Source organism: Homo sapiens, chromosome 6, assembly GCF_000001405.40.
Source record: "Homo sapiens chromosome 6, GRCh38.p14 Primary Assembly".
NCBI classification, from domain to species: domain Eukaryota; kingdom Metazoa; phylum Chordata; class Mammalia; order Primates; family Hominidae; genus Homo; species Homo sapiens.
The window spans coordinates 144,306,862-144,325,716 of record NC_000006.12 but is presented as its reverse complement, the minus strand read 5'-3'; the positions used below and the strand labels follow the sequence as shown (position 1 = coordinate 144,325,716).

Here is an 18,855-nt window from a genome sequence, read left to right as displayed (position 1 = left end):
CCCATTTCAAAATGAGGCTCAACAATGCATAGGCTTGGGTGTCACCTACCAACTGGTGGGCTCAAAGTAAGGTAATCAATTTACGTGCTGTAACTATACTGTACTCCCAGTAAAAGCACTCTTTAATTGGTGGCTGATCAGCGATGGGAGGCTGTCTTAGTCCATTCTATGCTACTGCAACAGAATGCCACAGACTGGGTAATTTATAATGAACAGAAATTTATTTGGCTCAAGGATCTGGAGGATGGGAAGTCCAAAAGCATGGCACTGGCATCTACTGAGGGCTTTCTTGCTACATCATCCCATGGAAAAAGGTGAAAGGGCAGGATACACTGACAGCAAGTAAGCAAGAGAGAGTCAAACTCACTTTTATAACAAGGCCATTCTCAAGATAACTAACCCACTTCTGCAATAATGACATTAATCCATTCAAGAAAGAGAGCAGAGCTCTCATGACCTAATCACCTATTTTTAGGCCCCACCTCCAAACACTGTTGCACTGGGGATTAAATTTCCAAAACATGAAATTCGGGGGACACTTCAAGCTATAGCAGACAGGTATAGCTTCAGGAACTGGGGCACCTCCTGGTGTCAGTTAATCTTCCTGATGTCTATTCAGAGCCTTGCCATGCTCTCTGGGCTAAGGATCCCAAGTTGGAATTCAGTTTTTCCAGAAAAAATATATAAATCTCTGTTCTCCTGTGCAGGTGAGGAAGAAGGGGAAAGCTCTGAGAGTCAAAGTGTGCTGTTTAAAGATTCTCAACCAAACTCTCAGTTTTCAGCTTCAAACTTCTCCCACTTTCCCCTGAACCAACCTCAAACAATCCTGGCAACTTTCAATCAGAGGGCTTGCAAAATCTGTGAGATGCATAAGAAAGCCACTCCACCATCGTCTTTCTTCCCCATCAATGGTTATTTCATTTCCACTTCCATTTGACCACAGGAGTTTATTCCTTTTTGTTCTCTTATTGTAATTATAGTAGCAACATGACAGCAAGCAATGATAAACACAAATTGCTCTACCACTTTTAACTGTAAGTTCTGCTCTCTTTAATTTATACACAGGAAGACTCCTAAAATGGTCCCATTTCCATGAGCCTGGCACTGAGTTTCACATGGAGCAGTGTGCAAGCAAGACGTGGTTCTCATAGTCTTGAATTCCAAAAGGTAGTCTTGCTAAATACTTTATGGCCAAACCCAGACTTTTTACAGTAATATTAATAACATCAGCTGTAACTGTCAGTTAATTATTCTCTTTATGATTAAGTCCAATTTGAAATATGCAGTGATTTCCTATAGAGAGAAATTTTATAGTCATAGCATAAAATTACATTTCCTTTCCTTTATTTTCAAATGTGAAATTTTACTTTAGACTTGGTAAATCAATACAGCCAAATTACAGTTGCTTTTTGGGGACCTCGATGCAGACTTACTTTTACTTCATGTACTAAAAATCCTAAATTGCATTAATGTTTTATTAAAAATTTAAATAAATTTAATCTCTAAAAATGTATGCCAAAATAAATACAGAAGCTCAAAGTTCACCTATATGTATTAAAGCAAATCTATATCGAGATATTAACAATGAAATAAAAATACACCCAGTGTAAAGGTTTCTAGAACCCAAATGCTCAGCTTTCTCTGACCCCTAAAGGTCTGCCTCCAAGTTCTGAAAACAGATAGCAATTCTCATCCTGGCTGAAAGGAAAACAAATGTTGTTGATAGTAATATGGTGAAATACAGAAATAATTTCAAGGCCACCTTGCAGATCAGAAAGAACTTCACCTCTGATACCAATGTTCCCCACAAAACCGAGTAAAATTGTCTTTGGCTACCTAAGGATGGAGAAAACTTCTCAAGCTAATAAAGGTAAGATTTTCCAGCATATTCATAAAATTGCAAGCTTTCGCCCAAATTACTTGGTTTAAAAGGACACATACAGCCAGTTTGATTAATCCCCTGGCAGTCAAGAAGCTTGTAAAAAATATTTTGCCCATATCGTGATATATGTTTAATATATGACCAAAAAAACAAGCAAGAGAAAGAGAGAACAAGGAAGAGAAAGAGAGAAATTTTAATAAAGTGTTCTTTTATTTTCTTTAAACCTTAATGTTTTTGAGAAAGCTTAAGGAAAAGATAAAAGTAATTGCTACTAAATGACTGCAAACTTTTAAGCAAAATAAATATTAATGTTGTGCTTCATGGATTCTGATGTAAGAATGTTTAAAATCCCCTAACATTTAAAACAGATTATCACAAAAAGTGATCTCCTTGCTCTTTTCCAGCCCATCATTAATTGGAGGGAGGGAGGGCTCTTCTGGCTCTCATTCAAATGATAATAATTTGTCTATTAATCTTGATAAGGGGATGGAGATGAATGATGTTGGAATACTCATAAATAATCTTTATAGTAGTTAATCCACCATTTACCTAGTGGTCATGATGATTTAATAGCTTACTGAAGGGCATATATATAGTCAATCCAATCCCCAAATTTAAGAATTGCCAAGGTTATGCTTCATCAATGCAAACATCTTTGTTACTTAAATGTAAGCATTAGACCTGGAATTGCTAGGAAGCCAAAATAGTGCCACTCTCCACATTTAAACTGGATTTGCCTCTAAAAAGATCAGAATCACACACTCCCTACACATTTCCCTATGTGTATCCTGCTCACTAATCCTTTACACATGGATGGAGTCCCCAGGTACAAAGCACTGCTTAAGACAGTGACTTCCAATGGCCCATGAAATCCATTTTTTTTTTTTTTTTTGAGACGGAGTCTCACTCTGTCACCCAGGCTGTAATGCAGTGGCGCAATCTCGGCTCACTGCAAGCTCCGCCTCCCAGGTTCACGCCATTCTCCTGCCTCAGCCTCCCGAGTAGCTGGGACTACAGGAGCCCGCCACCACGCCTGGCTAATTTTTTATATTTTTAGTAGAGACGGGGTTTCACCAGGATGTGTTAGCCAGGATGGTCTCGATCTCCTGACCTCGTGATCCGCCCACCTCGGCCTCCCAAAGTGCTGGGATTATAGGCGTGAGCCACCGCGCCCGGCCGAAATCCACTTTTACTATTTCTCCTACACTTTGCCCACCAGGATGTTAGTTTCATTTAATGAGTCCCTGTGTGGAAGATATTTCTGAGTCAAAGTGTCTTTAATTTCCAAATCCTGCTAGAGAATGATAGAAGCTCTTGGTGATGAGTCACAAGGGTAGTTTGCTGGTCAAAATAAATTCCTGCTCCACAAAGTCCCCTGCAGGGCAGCTGAGAAGGGCCACTCACAGATTTAGGGGGATTAGCTGAGCTACAGGTTCACAGATGAGTGTGGTAAATCCATCAGACACATTCAGTGAATGCTCACCAGGTGCTCACCAGTGCAGGACACACTGCAGGGAGCCACCAAGATCACTTGCTACACAAACACCCAACTAAAATATTTATTTAACAAATGAAAACAGCCAACTCCCAAACAAACATCCATCCAAGGTAAACAAAAGAAACCAGTTTCCATGTGAAAAAAAACTGCATCATTTCATAAATTTGCTTGTAATAAAATAACTTTGGGCATATTGTGGTAATTATTTAATTATCATTTGCTTGGAGTTAGAGGCTCAGCACTGAGAACTACTCCAGGGTAGTGATTAAGAGTATGGGCAGCCGGGTGCTCACGCCCGTAATCCCAGGACTGTGGGAGGCCGAGGCGGGTGGATCGCTTGAAGTCAGAAGTTCAAGACCAGCCTGGCCAACATGGTAAAACCCCATCTCTACTAAAAATGCAAAAATCAGCCAGGCGTGAATGTAGGCACCTGTAATCCCAGCTACTCGGGAGGCCGAGGCAGGAGACTCGCTTGAACCCGAGGCGGAGGTTGCAATGAGTGGAGATCACGCCACTATACTTCAGCCTGGGAAATAGAGCAAAACTCCATCTCAAAAAAAAAAAAAAGGCCAGGCACAGTGGCTCAGGCCTGTAATCCTAGCACTTTGGGAGGCCGAGGTGGGCAGATCACGAAGCCAGGAGTTCGAAACCAGCCTGACCAACATGGTGAAACCCCCTGTCTCTACTAAAAATACAAAAATTAGCCGGGCATGGTGGTACACACCTGTAATCTCAGCTACTCAGGAGGCTGAGGCAGGAGAATCGCTTGAACCCGGGAGGGAGAGGCTGCAGTGAGCCGAGATCACGCCACTGCACTCCAGCCTGGATGACAGAGCGAGACTCTGTCTCAAAAAAAAAAAAAAAAAAAAAAAAAAGATATGGCACAGCTACTTGGGTTTAAACTCCACCTCTGTCCCTCATTACCCGTGTTGGGCAAGCTACTTACCCACTCTCTGCCTTGGCTTCCTGACTGTAAAAAGGCGAAAATAGAAGTGCCTCTTTTATAGGGTTATTGTGAGGATCAAATGAATTTATATATGTGTGTACATGCACATATATGTATGTATATAGACAAACACATATACCCAGATATGGGTGTATATGGTTGTGTGTGTGTGTGTGTGTTTGTAAATAGTAAAACGGTTAAATAGTGGCTGGCATAGAAAACATGAAAAACCATTAAGCTACTCTTCTTATCACTACAATACTTCTTATACATCAAATTATTTCATACAGTGTTTCAGGTTAAAATTAAGCAACCACTAAACGTGTGCAACTGTGTTTAATATGATGAGCTAGAGATGCTTGAAAATGATCAGCTGATTCCAAACAGCTGTGCCCTCAGAGCCACTGCTGCACAGCGAGCTTGTCTGAGTGCCTGCCACGAGCACCTCCCCCCACTCCATCCCCATTAGCAGGGAAAGACAATAAGTAAATCTGGTGAATAAGGTGCAAATAGAAACTCAACACTTAACAGATTTCAAAAAGCAGACTCAGGTAAATAAAAGTTCCCAGTATTAAATGAGGCACATGCTAGTTCATCTTCAACCTGAATGCGAAAGCTCAGACCACGACTGAAAGGAAGGGGTGGAAAAATCGAGTGAGTGGTGCACTAGTTTTTTTTGATTAATGGTTTTACCTCTGTAATTCTACCTATGGAAACTGTCCTTTGCCCCAGAATACCCTTCTCTCCTTTGATTTCTCACTGCTCTGTTGTTCCCTTGCTTCCTGCACAGAGAAATCTAACCAGAATGTCAAATTGTGTGTGTATGTCTGAGCATCAGACACATTCCAACCAATTTATAATTGATTATTTCATAATCATTCTTTGTATACATATTACTATTTATAATATTCACAAAGGCAAAATTCCAGTGGCCAGAAAAGTGGGTCAGAGTCCATTCATCCAGACCTGGTAACCTGGATTGGGAGACGGCCCCTCTCACTATCAGCAGCCTGGAGATAGTCAGAGGCAATGATGCAAAGAGGGAAAGAGAGAGCAGGAATGAAGCCAGGACGTAATAGTAATAGTAATAATAATAACAAAAGCAACAGCCCCTAACAATATTAGCCAAATACTTTGAACTCATTTAATCTTCACAATTATAACGATCTGTTAAGACACAATAGAATAATTATTTTTATCCGAGTCTGCAGAATTTACACCTTTAAAAATTTACTTAAAGACCAGGCACAGTGGCTCACGCCTGTAATCCCAGCACTTTGGGAGGCGGAGGCGGGCGGATCACGAGGTCAGGAGTTCAAGGCAAGCCTGGCCAACACGGTGAAAGCCCGTCTCTACCAAAAATACAAAAACTAGCCGGGCGTGGTGGCACGTGCCTGTAATCCCAACTATTCAGGAGACTGAGACAGGAGAATTGCTTGAACCTAGGAGGCGGACATTGCGGTGAGCCAAGATCACACCATTACACTCCAGCTTGGGTGACAGAACAAGACTCCGTCTCAAAAAAAAAAAAAAATGTACTTAAGTCTGGGCATGGTGACCCATGCCTATAATCCCAGCACTTTGGGAGGGTGAGGCAGGTGGATCACTGGAGCTCAGGAGTTTGAGACCAGCCTGTCGCTACAAAAAGTATAAAAATTAACTGGGCATGGTGGCATGTGCCTGTGGTCCCAGCTACTCTGAAGGTTGAGATGGGAGGATCATTTGAGCCCAGGAGATCAAGGTAGCAGTGAGCCGAGATGGCGCCACTGCACTCCAGCCTGGGCAACAGAAAAAGAAAAAATTACTTAAAATAACTTGGGACCAAAAACTGAAGATAGAAACATACAATGTTTCAACTAAATCTTATGGTATATAAGATTCTACCAGAAAATGTACTAGGCTTCGTCCTTTGCAGAAGTGATCATGACGACAGGAAGCAGAAAGATGTTAGTCAACCAAGTTATTCCGAGAAACAATCATCTAAATGTCTAGTACCAAGTAAATGCCTCATGAAACAATTTGTCATTTTATCAACAAATCCTTAAGTGTCGAAGTCTCTGCCAAAAGGCAACACACAAGTACAGAAAGTCTAACATGCCCAGAAACAGCATTTCCAAGGAAAATGTCAGACCCACAACTTAACAGCCTGATTGGCAGACAGACTACCCTGGGCCACAACATTAAAAGAGTAAAATTCATGTACCTTAACCTGGAAAAATGTGAAAGAATAATGAGGAAAAAAAAAAACCTAACTAAATATTATAAAAATTAACTTTAATTCAAAAAAATTTTAAGCAAATTTATTTTTGTTTGTTTTATTTTGAGACAGGGTCTCATTCTGTCAACCAGGCTGGAGTGCAGTGGTACCACCATAGTTCACTGCAGCCTCGACCTCCAAGGCTCAAGTGATCCCTCCACCTCAGCCTCCCAAGTAGCTGGGACCACAGGTGCTGGCATCACACCCAGCTAATTTTTGTATTTTTTGTAGAGAGGAGTTTCACCATGTTGCTAAGGCTGGTCTTGAACTCCTGAGCTCCAACAATCTGCCTGCCTACGCCGGCCAAAGTGCTGGGATTACAGGTATGAGCCAACATGCCCAGCTAGATTTATTTTCAGTAGACATTATAGGCCAGGTGCAGTGGCTCACGCCTGTAATCCCAGCACTTTGGGAGCCCGAGACAGGCAGATCACTTGAGGTCAGCAGTTCAAGACCAGCCTGGCCAACATGATGAAACCCCATCTCTACTAAAAATACAAAAATTAGCCAGGCGTGGTGGCAAGTGCCTATAATCCCAGCTACTCGGGAGGCTGAGGCATGAGGATCACCTGAACCCGGGAGGCAGAGGTTCCAGTAAGCCAAGATCACGCCACTGCACTCCAGCCTGGGCGATAGAGCGAAACTCGGTCTCAAAAATAAAATAAAATAAAATTAGCCAGGCGTAGTGGTAGGCACCTGTAATCCCAGCTACTCAGGAGGCTGAGGCACAAGAATCACTTCAGCCCAGGAGGTAGAGGTTGCAGTGAGTTGAGATCCCACCACTGCATTCCAGCCTGGGCAAGAGAATGAGACTCCATCTCAGAAAATAAATAAATAAATAAAAATAAAGACATTATAAAGGAATTAAACTAAGCAACACTTTATTTCTTGGTATTCCCTAAATAAACTTGAAGAAGTAAGAAAGATGGAATACACTGAAGGAAAATTTTCCTTTGAAGAATTGGGAGTTACAGAGAAGTCCACAGCACTTCATCGTTAACAGTATTATTGTACAGGCTCTTAACAGTGCAAAGTATTTTCAGTATATATCACAGGGTGTTAAAAAAAAAATCCTACAAGCAGAGTACCTAAGCCGAAAATGAAACTCAAAAAGAGATAATAGGTCAAAAAATGGTGAAACATACAGTCGTGAGGTTTGTCAAAAGAAAACAATCCCATCTGGAAGCTATTTCCAGGAAAGGAAAGGACAGAACAAAGCCCAGAAAGAAATGCTTATGTTCAGATTTACTGACTGTGAGAGCAGAAATTTACATAAAGCAATGGAAAAAGTACCATGCAATATGATCAACTATCAAAGGGTTCCTTGACAGGAAAGTCTGAGGACTATTTTAAAAAATTAATTTATAAAAAGAAAGGTAAGAGAAGGTACTAATCTCTATTACAACAATTTGGTAATTTATCAAGATACCAGATTGGGGCTGGGCGCGGTGGCTCATGCCTGTAATCCCAGCACTTTGGGAGGCCGAGGTGGGTGGATCACTTGAGGTCAGGAGTTCGAGACCAACCTGGCCAACATGGTGAAACCCCATCTCTATTAAAAATACAGAAATTAGCTAGGCATGGTGGTGGGTGCCTGTAATCCCAGCTATTTAGGAGGTAGAGGCAGGAGAATTGCTTGAACCCGAGAGGCAGAGGTTGCAGTGAGCCGAGATGGCCCCACTGCACTCCGAAAAGAGCAAGACTCCATCTCAAAAAAAATAAACTAAAATAAATATATATATCAGATTGGAATGTTTAAATTGGCTTCAGGATTAAGGCAAATCGTTGGCGAACTTCCTGCAATCTCTCTTTTTTTAAAATGATTTTCTGTACTGTAACTGGTTTACAATATGGGATGCCACAAATGAGAGTTCTATTCATCTAGATTATCACATGTAGCTGAAGAAATAGCTTCCTCCATATCATTCGCTGTCCTATTTATGAGGTTCTGAGTTTTGGGGGTCCTCAGGACCAGGAGAAACACAAACTGCCTTATTTCATCAAATGTATTTGTGAGAATTTATGAATTATGTCAATCTTAAAACTAACCATTTTCTTATTGCTTTGTCTAATATGACACTTTGAGACAAATATGCATCCAAAGTTTACCAAAGGGAGCAAGCATGTTAGAGAAAGCAAGCAGTTTCTGTGAACTACCCATGGCCTTATCTTACCAATCCACTCATTTCTTCCTCTCTGCATTGTTGTTGATTTTTGCTTTTTCAAAATCCTACTTCCTATGTGGCTCTCTGTAAGAATTCAGAATTAGATGGGGCATTTTTTAAATATGATAAAAAACTTACTCTAAGTCCTAACTAATAACAAGCATATCCTCATCTATGAAACACTGACAATTATATCTTCCCCATAAAATTATGGTAGGGAGTAAATGAAATAATATATTTGAAAGGCCCAACACATACACCTAGCTCTCTGCCTCCCTCTGTTATTTTAGGAAATATTTTCTCCATCTAAAATTAATTTCCCTTGTGTGCTCCAGATTAGCAAGCGATCAATTCATTCACACTTTGCTAACTTTTATAGTGAAACTAACTGGTTACAATTTTAAAAGTTAATGTATATCCAGATACTTCCTGTGAAAAACATTGACTTTGGCTAAGACTCCTGAACCCATACATTATTGGAAGTAAAAGTTTAACAGATTATGGTTAATTTTAAATGAAAGTAATGTAAGTGAAGAGACTGCAAACAAAGCAACAGCTATACTACTAATATATTTACCCAGACCCTCTCATTTCCGATGTTTTCTTTCAACATGACAGCATTTTCAACTCAATTGGCAACAACATTGTGCCCACTATCACACAAACCACCTGAATGAGAGCTATGGGGTCAGTAAGAGCCACCAATTGCCACACATATCCAAATAGGAACCAACATCAGTCTATCCGTTGTTTTGTTTTTTAGAGACTTTTTTTGTTTTCTTGCAGAGACAGGGTCTCACTGTGTTTCCCAGCCTAGTCTCGAACTCCTGGCCTCAAGTAATCCTCCTGCCTCGGCCTCCCAGAGTGTGGGGTTACAGACGTGAGCCACTGTGCCAGGCCCCACTTTTAATACAACCATGAAAGATGAGAAGGTAGTGCAGAAGGAAACAACTGAGGGAAATGTATCCTGAAATCCTCTAGCTGCCTCTTCCATTTTGAAAGAGGGAGTGTACAGGGAACAGTCCTGTCCAGATAGCAATGGAGCCGAGGCGACCTTCAGCAGTTCACAGCGCCATGACGTTCTCATCTGGCAAATCATGGTAATACCTATTCTGCCAGATCATCACCAGATCATGCCAAGGATTCAAACACATATAAAGTGCTTTTCAGGTAGATTCCTACTAATGCCAAGCTGCCTGAAATCTGTCCACTGCATAAAGGCACGAGGCCAAGGTGAAAAACGACGCTGAAATCCAGCCAGCACAGCGGCACGGAGGAAAGAACACCTTTTGCTTTGCACAAAGGCACAGCCCACGAAGTAGTGTGTCCATCAGACTGTGTCTCTCCAGAGTGGGCGCCGTTATCTAATTGCCCACGCAAAAGGGCTGCCTTGGTCTAAGTTAAAATAATGCCCAGCAGCAGCACTAACTAATGGCAATTTCTAGGTGAGAACAAGAACAAGAGTTTGGCATCGGGCCCTGTCCAACTAGTGTCAGAACCTCAGCCAGTAGCCAATTCCCCCTTCCCTGACCCCTTCAATGCACATCAAGCACCCGAACCTTCCTTCCTCTCTTCCCATCTCACCACAGTGCTGCCCACACTGCCACTGGGTCCTGGAACAGTGCCCTGACTGACCTACTGCCCCTGCCAGCCATCCAGGAAGGAAGATAAGCCACTGTTCAGGCCAGGGACCCCACTTCCTGACCCCGCTGGTTGAACTTAAGATGTCTTTTCTTAAGAAACAATGTTAGGATAATTACATCCTATGGCACTTTTACTGCAGTATTGTCTTTCAGCTACCATTAAATGTGAAACAGGATTCTGCAGGCTGGCTTATGTTCCAATGCTTCAAACAAGCAAATTAGAAACTCTTATAGCCCACTAAGTGCCCAGGCCCTGGGTCCTGGCCTCTGTTTGCAAAGGAGATCATCTCCTCTTGATCTTGTGTAAGCCATTCGAGCTCATGAAACCTGTTTCCTTAGCTGTTAAATAAATAAATAAATAAATAAGGAAAAAAATATATAGAGAGAGGTATATATATACATAGGTATTTTTGTTGTGAGTACTTCAAATGCAATACATGTAAAATGGCACCAAATGGACACTGAGAAAGCAGTCACCATACCAGGTGCACAATCCCTTATCCACAATGCCAGGATCTGAAAAGCTCTGGAAACCAAAGGCTTTTTCCATAACCCATTTGGCAGCAAAACGTGACCTGAACTGACCTGAGGCTATTTATAACCCTGTTTGTGTTCCACTTAGTGTAAATATTCATACATTTTCTGCAGAATGATGAAGATATTGGATGATAGGGTACTGTCCCAAACTCCTCTGGAGGCTTTATGTAACATAGGGCATATGGGCCATAGCCTTTCTGAAATGGGAAAAAGAAAAATCATAAATTCTGAAGCATATCTGGTCCCAAGGATTTGGATAAGGGATGGGGAGTTTTACCATGAAGGAGGTTCGCTGGCCAACCCAAGAGCAGCTTTTTGTGCTAGACTTTCAGCTACATTTCCCATCAACAAGTTGTCACGATGTCTGAGCACAGCAACAGCTCCGCCCTGAAGAGGTCAGCATCCAGGTCCTGGGTCTGGGCTGGCCAGCTCTAGGGAGTGGATGGGGTTAGGAGCTAAAAGGCTGAGCAGACAGGGAATGCGGAAACCAGGCCTGCGCCCTACTTCACTTGCACTCAGACAACCCAAGCCATCAAGCACATTCTTATGACTTGTGTAGTCATTTTTTTTTTCTAGATTTTCAAAGTGAATCTTAGTTTTTATTCCCAACGCTGGCTCCCTCTAGTCTGGGCAAACTGCCATTTAATCACAAGGGCCACTCAAAGGTTGTTTTTTCTCTTTTTTTAAGCTGTTGAAAACATTAAGCTAAATAAGTGAATATTCTCCAGCCTCCCTCTCTGAGCCCCTCCCTACCTTTCTCATCCATTAAAACAGCACTCCATTTCATTACAAATATTCTACTCCTAGTGTATTAAAGACATAACATGTATATTATAAAAAGTAAATATGAATATTAATGAAACAGAAGCATGAGGAAAAGGGAAAATTTTAAGAACTGAATCAATGTAACATTCTCTTTGTAGCATCACCTGTAGACCTAGACAAGCAAGGACCTTGCCTTAAATCCTGACTTTTAGAGGGCCTCACTCTACCCTCTTCCATCCCCATCTCTCCCCCAGAAATAGAGAAATCAGAGGACCAAGGGGATATGCAAGTCCTAAAGCACGGTCTAGAGGCACAGGGTCCTAGTACTCACTGCTCAAATGAGCACTGGGCTCTTTCCCAAGCAAGGGTGGACCACACTACTGTTTGCAAGTGGGGAAGAGTGGGAGACCATGGGTGCTTGGCCAACTGACCACAAACTTGGGTGCAAAGCCCTTCCCAGTGCCAAATGGAGCCAGCATGGGCAGACAAAGGGGAAAGTCTGCAAACTGGAGCCAGGGGGCAGCTCTCTCCACCACCATGTTCTGTCATAGAATCTGAGGACTTGGAAAATTCCAAACTCAAACTTGGCCCATGAAATTGTGATCAAAGCATATGTATATTTATTATTATCCATTCTCCTTTCTATTTTCTTTTCTTTTTTTTTTTTTCAGTATCAGAAACCTGCTCTTCTCCTCCATCCCCACAGTTCTAGCTCAGCACAAGCCATATTTCTCAACCTCCCTTGCAGCAAGATGAGTCCACGTGGCTAAGCAGCAGCCAGTGGGATGTGAAAAGAAATCAGGAATGCAACCTGAGGGCCATGCACGTTTTAAAAAATTGCTTATTTTTTACTTCTCTTTTCTCTTTCCTTGGACTAGAACTTGACATAGTGTTGAGGGGCAAGCCTCATCAAGAAAATGGAACAACACTTTGGAAAGGCAGAACAAGAGAGAAGGAACCAGGATCCCTGAGAGACCATATGAAGCGGAGCCACCTTCCCACCCTCCATCACCCACCAACTCTGAACTGTAAGGAGAGAAAGAAATAAACTCTGATTTTATTTGAGCCACTGTATTTTGAGGTTTCTTTGGTACACCCCTGGAGCCTCTCTGTAACTAATACATTTGCAAATGATCTACATAAACTGGCTGGAAATTAGTTGTATGAATCCACTATGGTGACTTCAGCCAAAAGAATATAATATCCAGCCTCAGCAAGTAAAATAAAATAAAATGGGAGAGGAGAGCTACTGTGTGATGCAGTTATTTTTTCAAGAATTCTACCAGAAAATCATATCAAATATATAAACATGGAAGAGAAAAACTAAAAGAATTCCACAGGACAATTAGCCATGAAAAGGCTTAGTCTATCCTAGAATGTCTTGTTATTAAATATAAAGAAGCAGAAAAAGGGAAATTCTGTATATATTTAAGAAACAAAAACAAATCTTCCTAGTGCAATATGATTAAAACTATTTTTACATGCTTATTTTAAAAGACTGGAAAGAAATAAACCCACATTATAATAATTATTTGTATGGAGGTAACGGCTTACATTTCTTGAGTGCTTCTATGTTCCAAATTGCTTTTTTTTTTTTTTTGAGATGGAGTCTTGCTCTGTCACCCAGGCTGGAGTGCAGTGGCGCAATCTCGGCTCACTGCAAGCTCCGCCTCCTGGGTTCACACCATTCTCCTGCCTCAGCCTTCCGAGTAGCTGGGACTACAGGCGCCTGCCATCAGGCCGGCTAATTTTTTGTATTTTTAGTAGAGACGGGGTTTCACCGTGTTAGCCAGGATGGTCTCGATCTCCTGACCTCGTGATCCACCCGTCTCGGCCTCCCAAAGTGCTGGGATTACAGGCATGAGCCACCGCGCCTGGCCCCAAATTGCTTTATATATGTTAATTCACTTACTTTTTACAACACGAGGAGGTTGATGCTATTACTATCTCTACTTTACTCAGGCACAGAGCAGCTAAGCCATTTGTCCAGGTTCACAGAGCTAGCAGGTGGCCATGCTTACACCCACAGCACCTGATACTGTCTGAACCATTCCCTAAAGTATTTCTACAGAAGAGTACTAATAAGATTTTTAAATCCTGCAGGATTTTTCTTATTATTCTTTTCAAATATTGTGTAATCTAATACCATGCCATCCTTGATATCTAACTCATTTTAGAGATAAAAATGCTTACCCTAAATACCATCATATAATCTATATTTCTATAACCCCAACAGCAATATTGCAGGTTAGAATCCAAGTGTGCAGAATATTTGTGAAGATCAGTGTAGATAATACTGAAATGACAGTGATGAGGAAGAAGGTACTAGAACACAGCCCTTCCCGAGCACAGCTCGCACAATTAAGCATTAACAATTAGGTTTTCTGGAGCTTAGAAAGTGATCAGTGTGAGGTCATCTAGTCCATACTCCTTACCTTACAAACAAATCAATTAATTGTGCAGACAGCTTGAGTGACATATTCAAGGTCACACAGCTGGTGATCTGCAGAGCTAAAACTGGAACCTAGTTCCTCTTTGACACTAAGCTAAGCTCTTTTTTTAAATAGGGCATCCAGGTTTTCTAGAATTTAGCAATTAAAGCAGTGATTTTCAAATTGTGTTCCAAAAGACATGAAGGACCCTCAGAAGCCTGGGTTGAGCTACTCACCTGCCAGTCCCACCCCCCAAACTCTGCTGTATAGAAAGCCACATCCTACCTATCAGCAATGCATCGTCACATTCCTAAAATGAGCCTCCACTGGAAGACTTGTTTGCAGAAAGACTTCCAAGGCAAAAATAAAAATCACATAACCAAGTGAAGTATTCGCATCGTTACTTTCCAGAGCCCCATAACCTGGGACCTTTTAGAGTGCTTAGTAATCTGAAGAAAGCTTCTTACGCCAGAATTCTTCCCCCAGGAAGATCCTCATCATTTCACTAAATGGGCATTTTCATGCCAACTAAAAATGTAATATAATCACACAATAAAGGGCAATCTTAGAAGAGGAAAGGCAGTTGGCAACCACGCTGACAAATATCTATACTACACTGACCTCAGTCTGCTCATTTCATGACTGCCTGTTGAAAACAACATCAAGTGATCGATCTGTCGTGAGCATCTGGGAAACACAGTCAAAGGCTGACATGCAGCTAATCAATCGGGACAATAAAGATCAACAAAGATTGAACTGATATTTTTCTCAGGGATTGCACACTTGTTTGTTTTTTGTTTGTTTGTTTGTGTTTGAGACAGCATCTTGCTCTGTTATCCAGGCTGGCGTGCAGTAGCACGATCTCAGCTCAATGCAACCTCTGCCTCCTGGGTTCAAGCGATTCTTGTGCCTCAGCCTCCCCAGTAGTTGGGATTACAGGCACGCCCCCCACCCCCCGCCACGCCCAGTGATCCCTGTCTCCCCACCTCGGCCTCCCAGGTAGCTGGGACCACAGGCATGCACTACCATGCCCAGCCATTTTTTTTTTTTTTTTTTGAGACGGAGTTTCACTCTTGTTACCCAGGCTGGAGTGCAATGGCTCATCTCAGCTCACTGCAACCTCCGCCTCCCAGGTTCAAGCGATTCTCCTGCCTCAGCCTACTGAGTAGCTGGGATTACAGGCATGAGCCACCATGCCTGGTTAATTTTGTATGTTAAGTAGAGACAGGGTTGCTCCATGTTGGCCAGGCTGGTCTCCAACTCCCAACCTCAGGTGATCCGCCTGCCTCAGCCTCCCAAAGTGCTGGGATTACAGGCATGAGCCACTGCACCCAGACCAATTTTTATATCTTTTGTAGAGATGGGGTTTCACTATGTAGCCCAGGCTCACACTTGTGGAAAGCAATGAAAAATGTGATTTGCTTCTGCACACGTGTATTTATTGAGCACATACTATGTGTCAGGCACTGTTCTAGATACTAGTGATTCAACCTAGACAAAATACCTGCATTCTAGTGGAAAAAGACAATCAGCATAATCCAGTAAGTGCTATGGGAAAAAATGAAACAGGATAAAGTGGGTGGAGAGGGCTAATGAGGGAAGGATTTGCTATTTTAATTGACTGGCACAGTAGCTCTCTGAGAGGAGGGAGTTAGCCACAAGGTTATCTGCTAGAAGAGGGCTCAGGCCCTGACCTGGGAGGTGCCTGCCTCATATAATGAGCACAAACTAGTAAGGGGAGATGAAGCCAGGCAGGATAAACAGGGTCCTGTAGATCACTGTAAGGTCTTTCGCGTTTATTACAACTGGAATGGGGAGTCACTGCAGACTTGGAAACCTGAAGCAACATATCCACTTCTGATTTGAAAAGGATCCCTCTACTGTGGGGTTCAGACCAGCCTCCATGGGCCAAGGGAGGAAGCAGAGAGACAAGTAAGGAGGCAATTCCAGAAAAAGCAATGGTCCCCTAGACCAGGACAGTAGCAGTGGAGATCGTAAAATATGACCGGATTCTGTATAAATTCAGTATTAGGAAAATAGAACCAGCAGGATCTGCTGCATTGGATGTGGGTATACGAGAAAGAAAGGACTACAAAGATGACTCCAAAACTGGGGCAATTGGAAGAATCACATTGCCTTTATCTGAGACAAGCAAGACTGTGGGATCAGCTTTGGGGTTTACGGGAGATCAGGAGTTCAGATTTTCAGATCTGAACATAGAAGATGTGAAGTAAACAACTGGAAATGCAAGTATGCAGTTCAGAGGAAGAGGTCTGGGCTAGAGATAGAAATTTGAGCCAGCATTCAGATAGTATTTAAACCAGGATACTGGTGAGATGACAAACGGCAACAGTGGGGACAGAGAGGAGGTCCAAGGACTGGGTCCTGGGCCCTCCAACGTTAAGAGGAAGAATCAGCAAAAGATAATGGGTGGGAAACCAGGAGCGTGTGGGGTGTCCTAGAAGCCAAATGAAGAAAGAGTCATGGAGGAGGGAGTGATCAGCAGTGTTGATGCTATTGAGAGGTGGAATAAGGTAAGGACTGAGAACAGGCTACTGGATTTAGCAACAAGGAGGTCCCTAATAACTTTGACAAGAGCAGTTTTACTGGACTGGTAGGGGGTCTGCCTGATTTGAGTGGTCTTAAGAGGGAATGAAAGGAGACGAACTGCAAATGTTGGTACATACAATCTTTGAGGAGCTCTTTCATAAAGGGGACCAGAGGAATGGCGTGGTAGCTACAGAGACAGGTGGGATCAAAGTAAAGTTTTGCTAGAAGAAAAACAATAGCATGTTTGTAAGCGGATCCACTAAAGGGGAAATCATAGGGATGCAGAAGAGAGAAGGGAGGTGACTTTGAGTAAGTAAAGGAGGATGGGTACAATGTACACGGTTAGGGTGGCCTTGGGTGGGTTCTGGTTGAGGATAGATGTGGTATTGAAGTTTCTGGATTCCTCTTTGGTTTGCTTCAATTTTCTTAGGGCAAGAGTAGGCAAAGTCAGCCGGGCATGGTGGCTCACACCTGTAATCCCAACACTTCGGGAGGCTGAGGTGGATGGATTGCTTGAGCCCAGGAGTTTGAGACCAGCCTGGGCAACATGGTGAAACCTCTTATCTACAAAAAAAAATACAAAAATTAGCCAGGCGTGGTGGCACATGCCTATAGCCCCAGCTACCCGAGGGTGGGAGGATTGCTGGAGCCCAGGAGGCGGAGGTTGCAGTGAGCCATGCTAGTACCGAAAAAATGGGACGCTTAAATTCAGATGACAGAGGGGCTGCCACCATAAACAATGACCTGGTCTAGCCAGAATATACCCACCACACTGGGAGACAAGATCACTAGAAAGAGAACTTAGAGAAATTAAGAGGACAGAGTATTAGAAGGATCATCAATGTTTACACCCAAATCACTAAAACAAGAGTAACTTTTAGAGAGAGTGACAGAGCTAAACTCACTGAGAAATGAGAGTGAGCGGTGGAGGGAGGGAGTGACATCTCACCAATTAGGTTGAGTTGGTGATGCAATCCGATGGCAGGAGATTGCAGCTGGGGAATCTGGTCTGAATGCGGAATGAGGAGCAAAGGGCCATTATCTCTCTCTCCTGTAGTAGGAGAGGGCTGGGAGAAAAGAACCCACACAAAAGGCAGTCACAACAAACATGTCTACACTTTGACAAAGAAATTTCTTTTGATGTCAGAAAAAATAAAGCACTGTGATATCCATTCCACCTGAGCTTGATGAAGCCCAAGTTTCATTAATTAAAAAAAAAAAAAACTGAGGCAGACTGTTAATTAGTAATCTATGTCTGATTATTTGCCACTTTTAGCAACAAAAGGGAAATATTCATCAACAAATAAAAATACATTATATGCAAAACTGGGTCAAACATTATCAGAAATTTTGCCCTTCAAACTTTGTGTCTTCTCAACCTAATTCTAGCAATCAGGTCTTTTGTTTGAGTGGCTTTAAGGCAGTAGAAGTAAAGTAAGGACCAGAATTTGAGTTACAGCAAAAGTGTGAGACCCTCAGTTCGTGCCAGCGTATTGGACTGCCAATCTAATTTCAGAAAAAAAGAAACATTATGAAGACATAACCCTATAATATGTCACTCTTCCTCTAACAAGACTTAACTTTTCATTAAGTCATAGGTCTCCTTTGAGAATATAATGAAAACTGTGGACCCTTTTTCTAAGAAAATATGCAGAAACACAAGTGTAAAAACTTCTGCACATATTGCAGGATTTATTGTTAACCTCTTCTCTCCCTCCCCAAACACCCAGTCAGGCTAGGTAGAGTAATATCTGCAAGGGGGCTTCCTATGCCCTTGGGAGATAAATACAGTCAACAACTGCGGCATCAACTAATAATATCTACTAAAAAATATTACAAATCAAAAACCACTTCTTAATTCTTCATCTTCCGCTGCCGTCATCTACCATCCAGATGCTCATTTTAGGGTCAGTCAAAAATATCTCAGAAAATACAAAGATAAATAAAATATGCAACAGTTCTTGATTTTTTTTTTTTTCAACAGAGTCACACTCTGCCACCCAGGCTGGAGTGCAGTGATGTGATATTGACTCACCGCAGCCTCCACCTCCCAGGTTCAAATTATTCCCATGCCTTAGCCTCCTGAGTAGCTGGGACTACAGGTGCGCGACCCCATGCCCAGGTAATTTTTTTTTTTTTTGTATTTTTAGTAGAGGTAGGGTTTCACTATGTTGGCCAGG

General features: G+C 42.2%; 1 protein-coding gene across 1 annotated transcript in view, besides 1 other annotated feature; it reads right to left on the bottom strand.

The window, feature by feature from the left end:
* UTRN (utrophin) overlaps positions 1 to 18,855 on the bottom strand; it is a 567,700-nt gene that overhangs the window by 527,318 nt on the left and 21,527 nt on the right. The window lies entirely within an intron of this gene.
* Positions 3,170 to 3,464: a silencer, noted in NCBI's record as "tiled region #1397; K562 Repressive non-DNase unmatched - State 22:ReprW". NCBI's record gives its function as "represses a minimal TATA promoter and a strong SV40 promoter by Sharpr-MPRA in K562 cells {active_cell/tissue: K562}" and the evidence as "EXISTENCE:reporter gene assay evidence [ECO:0000049][PMID:27701403]".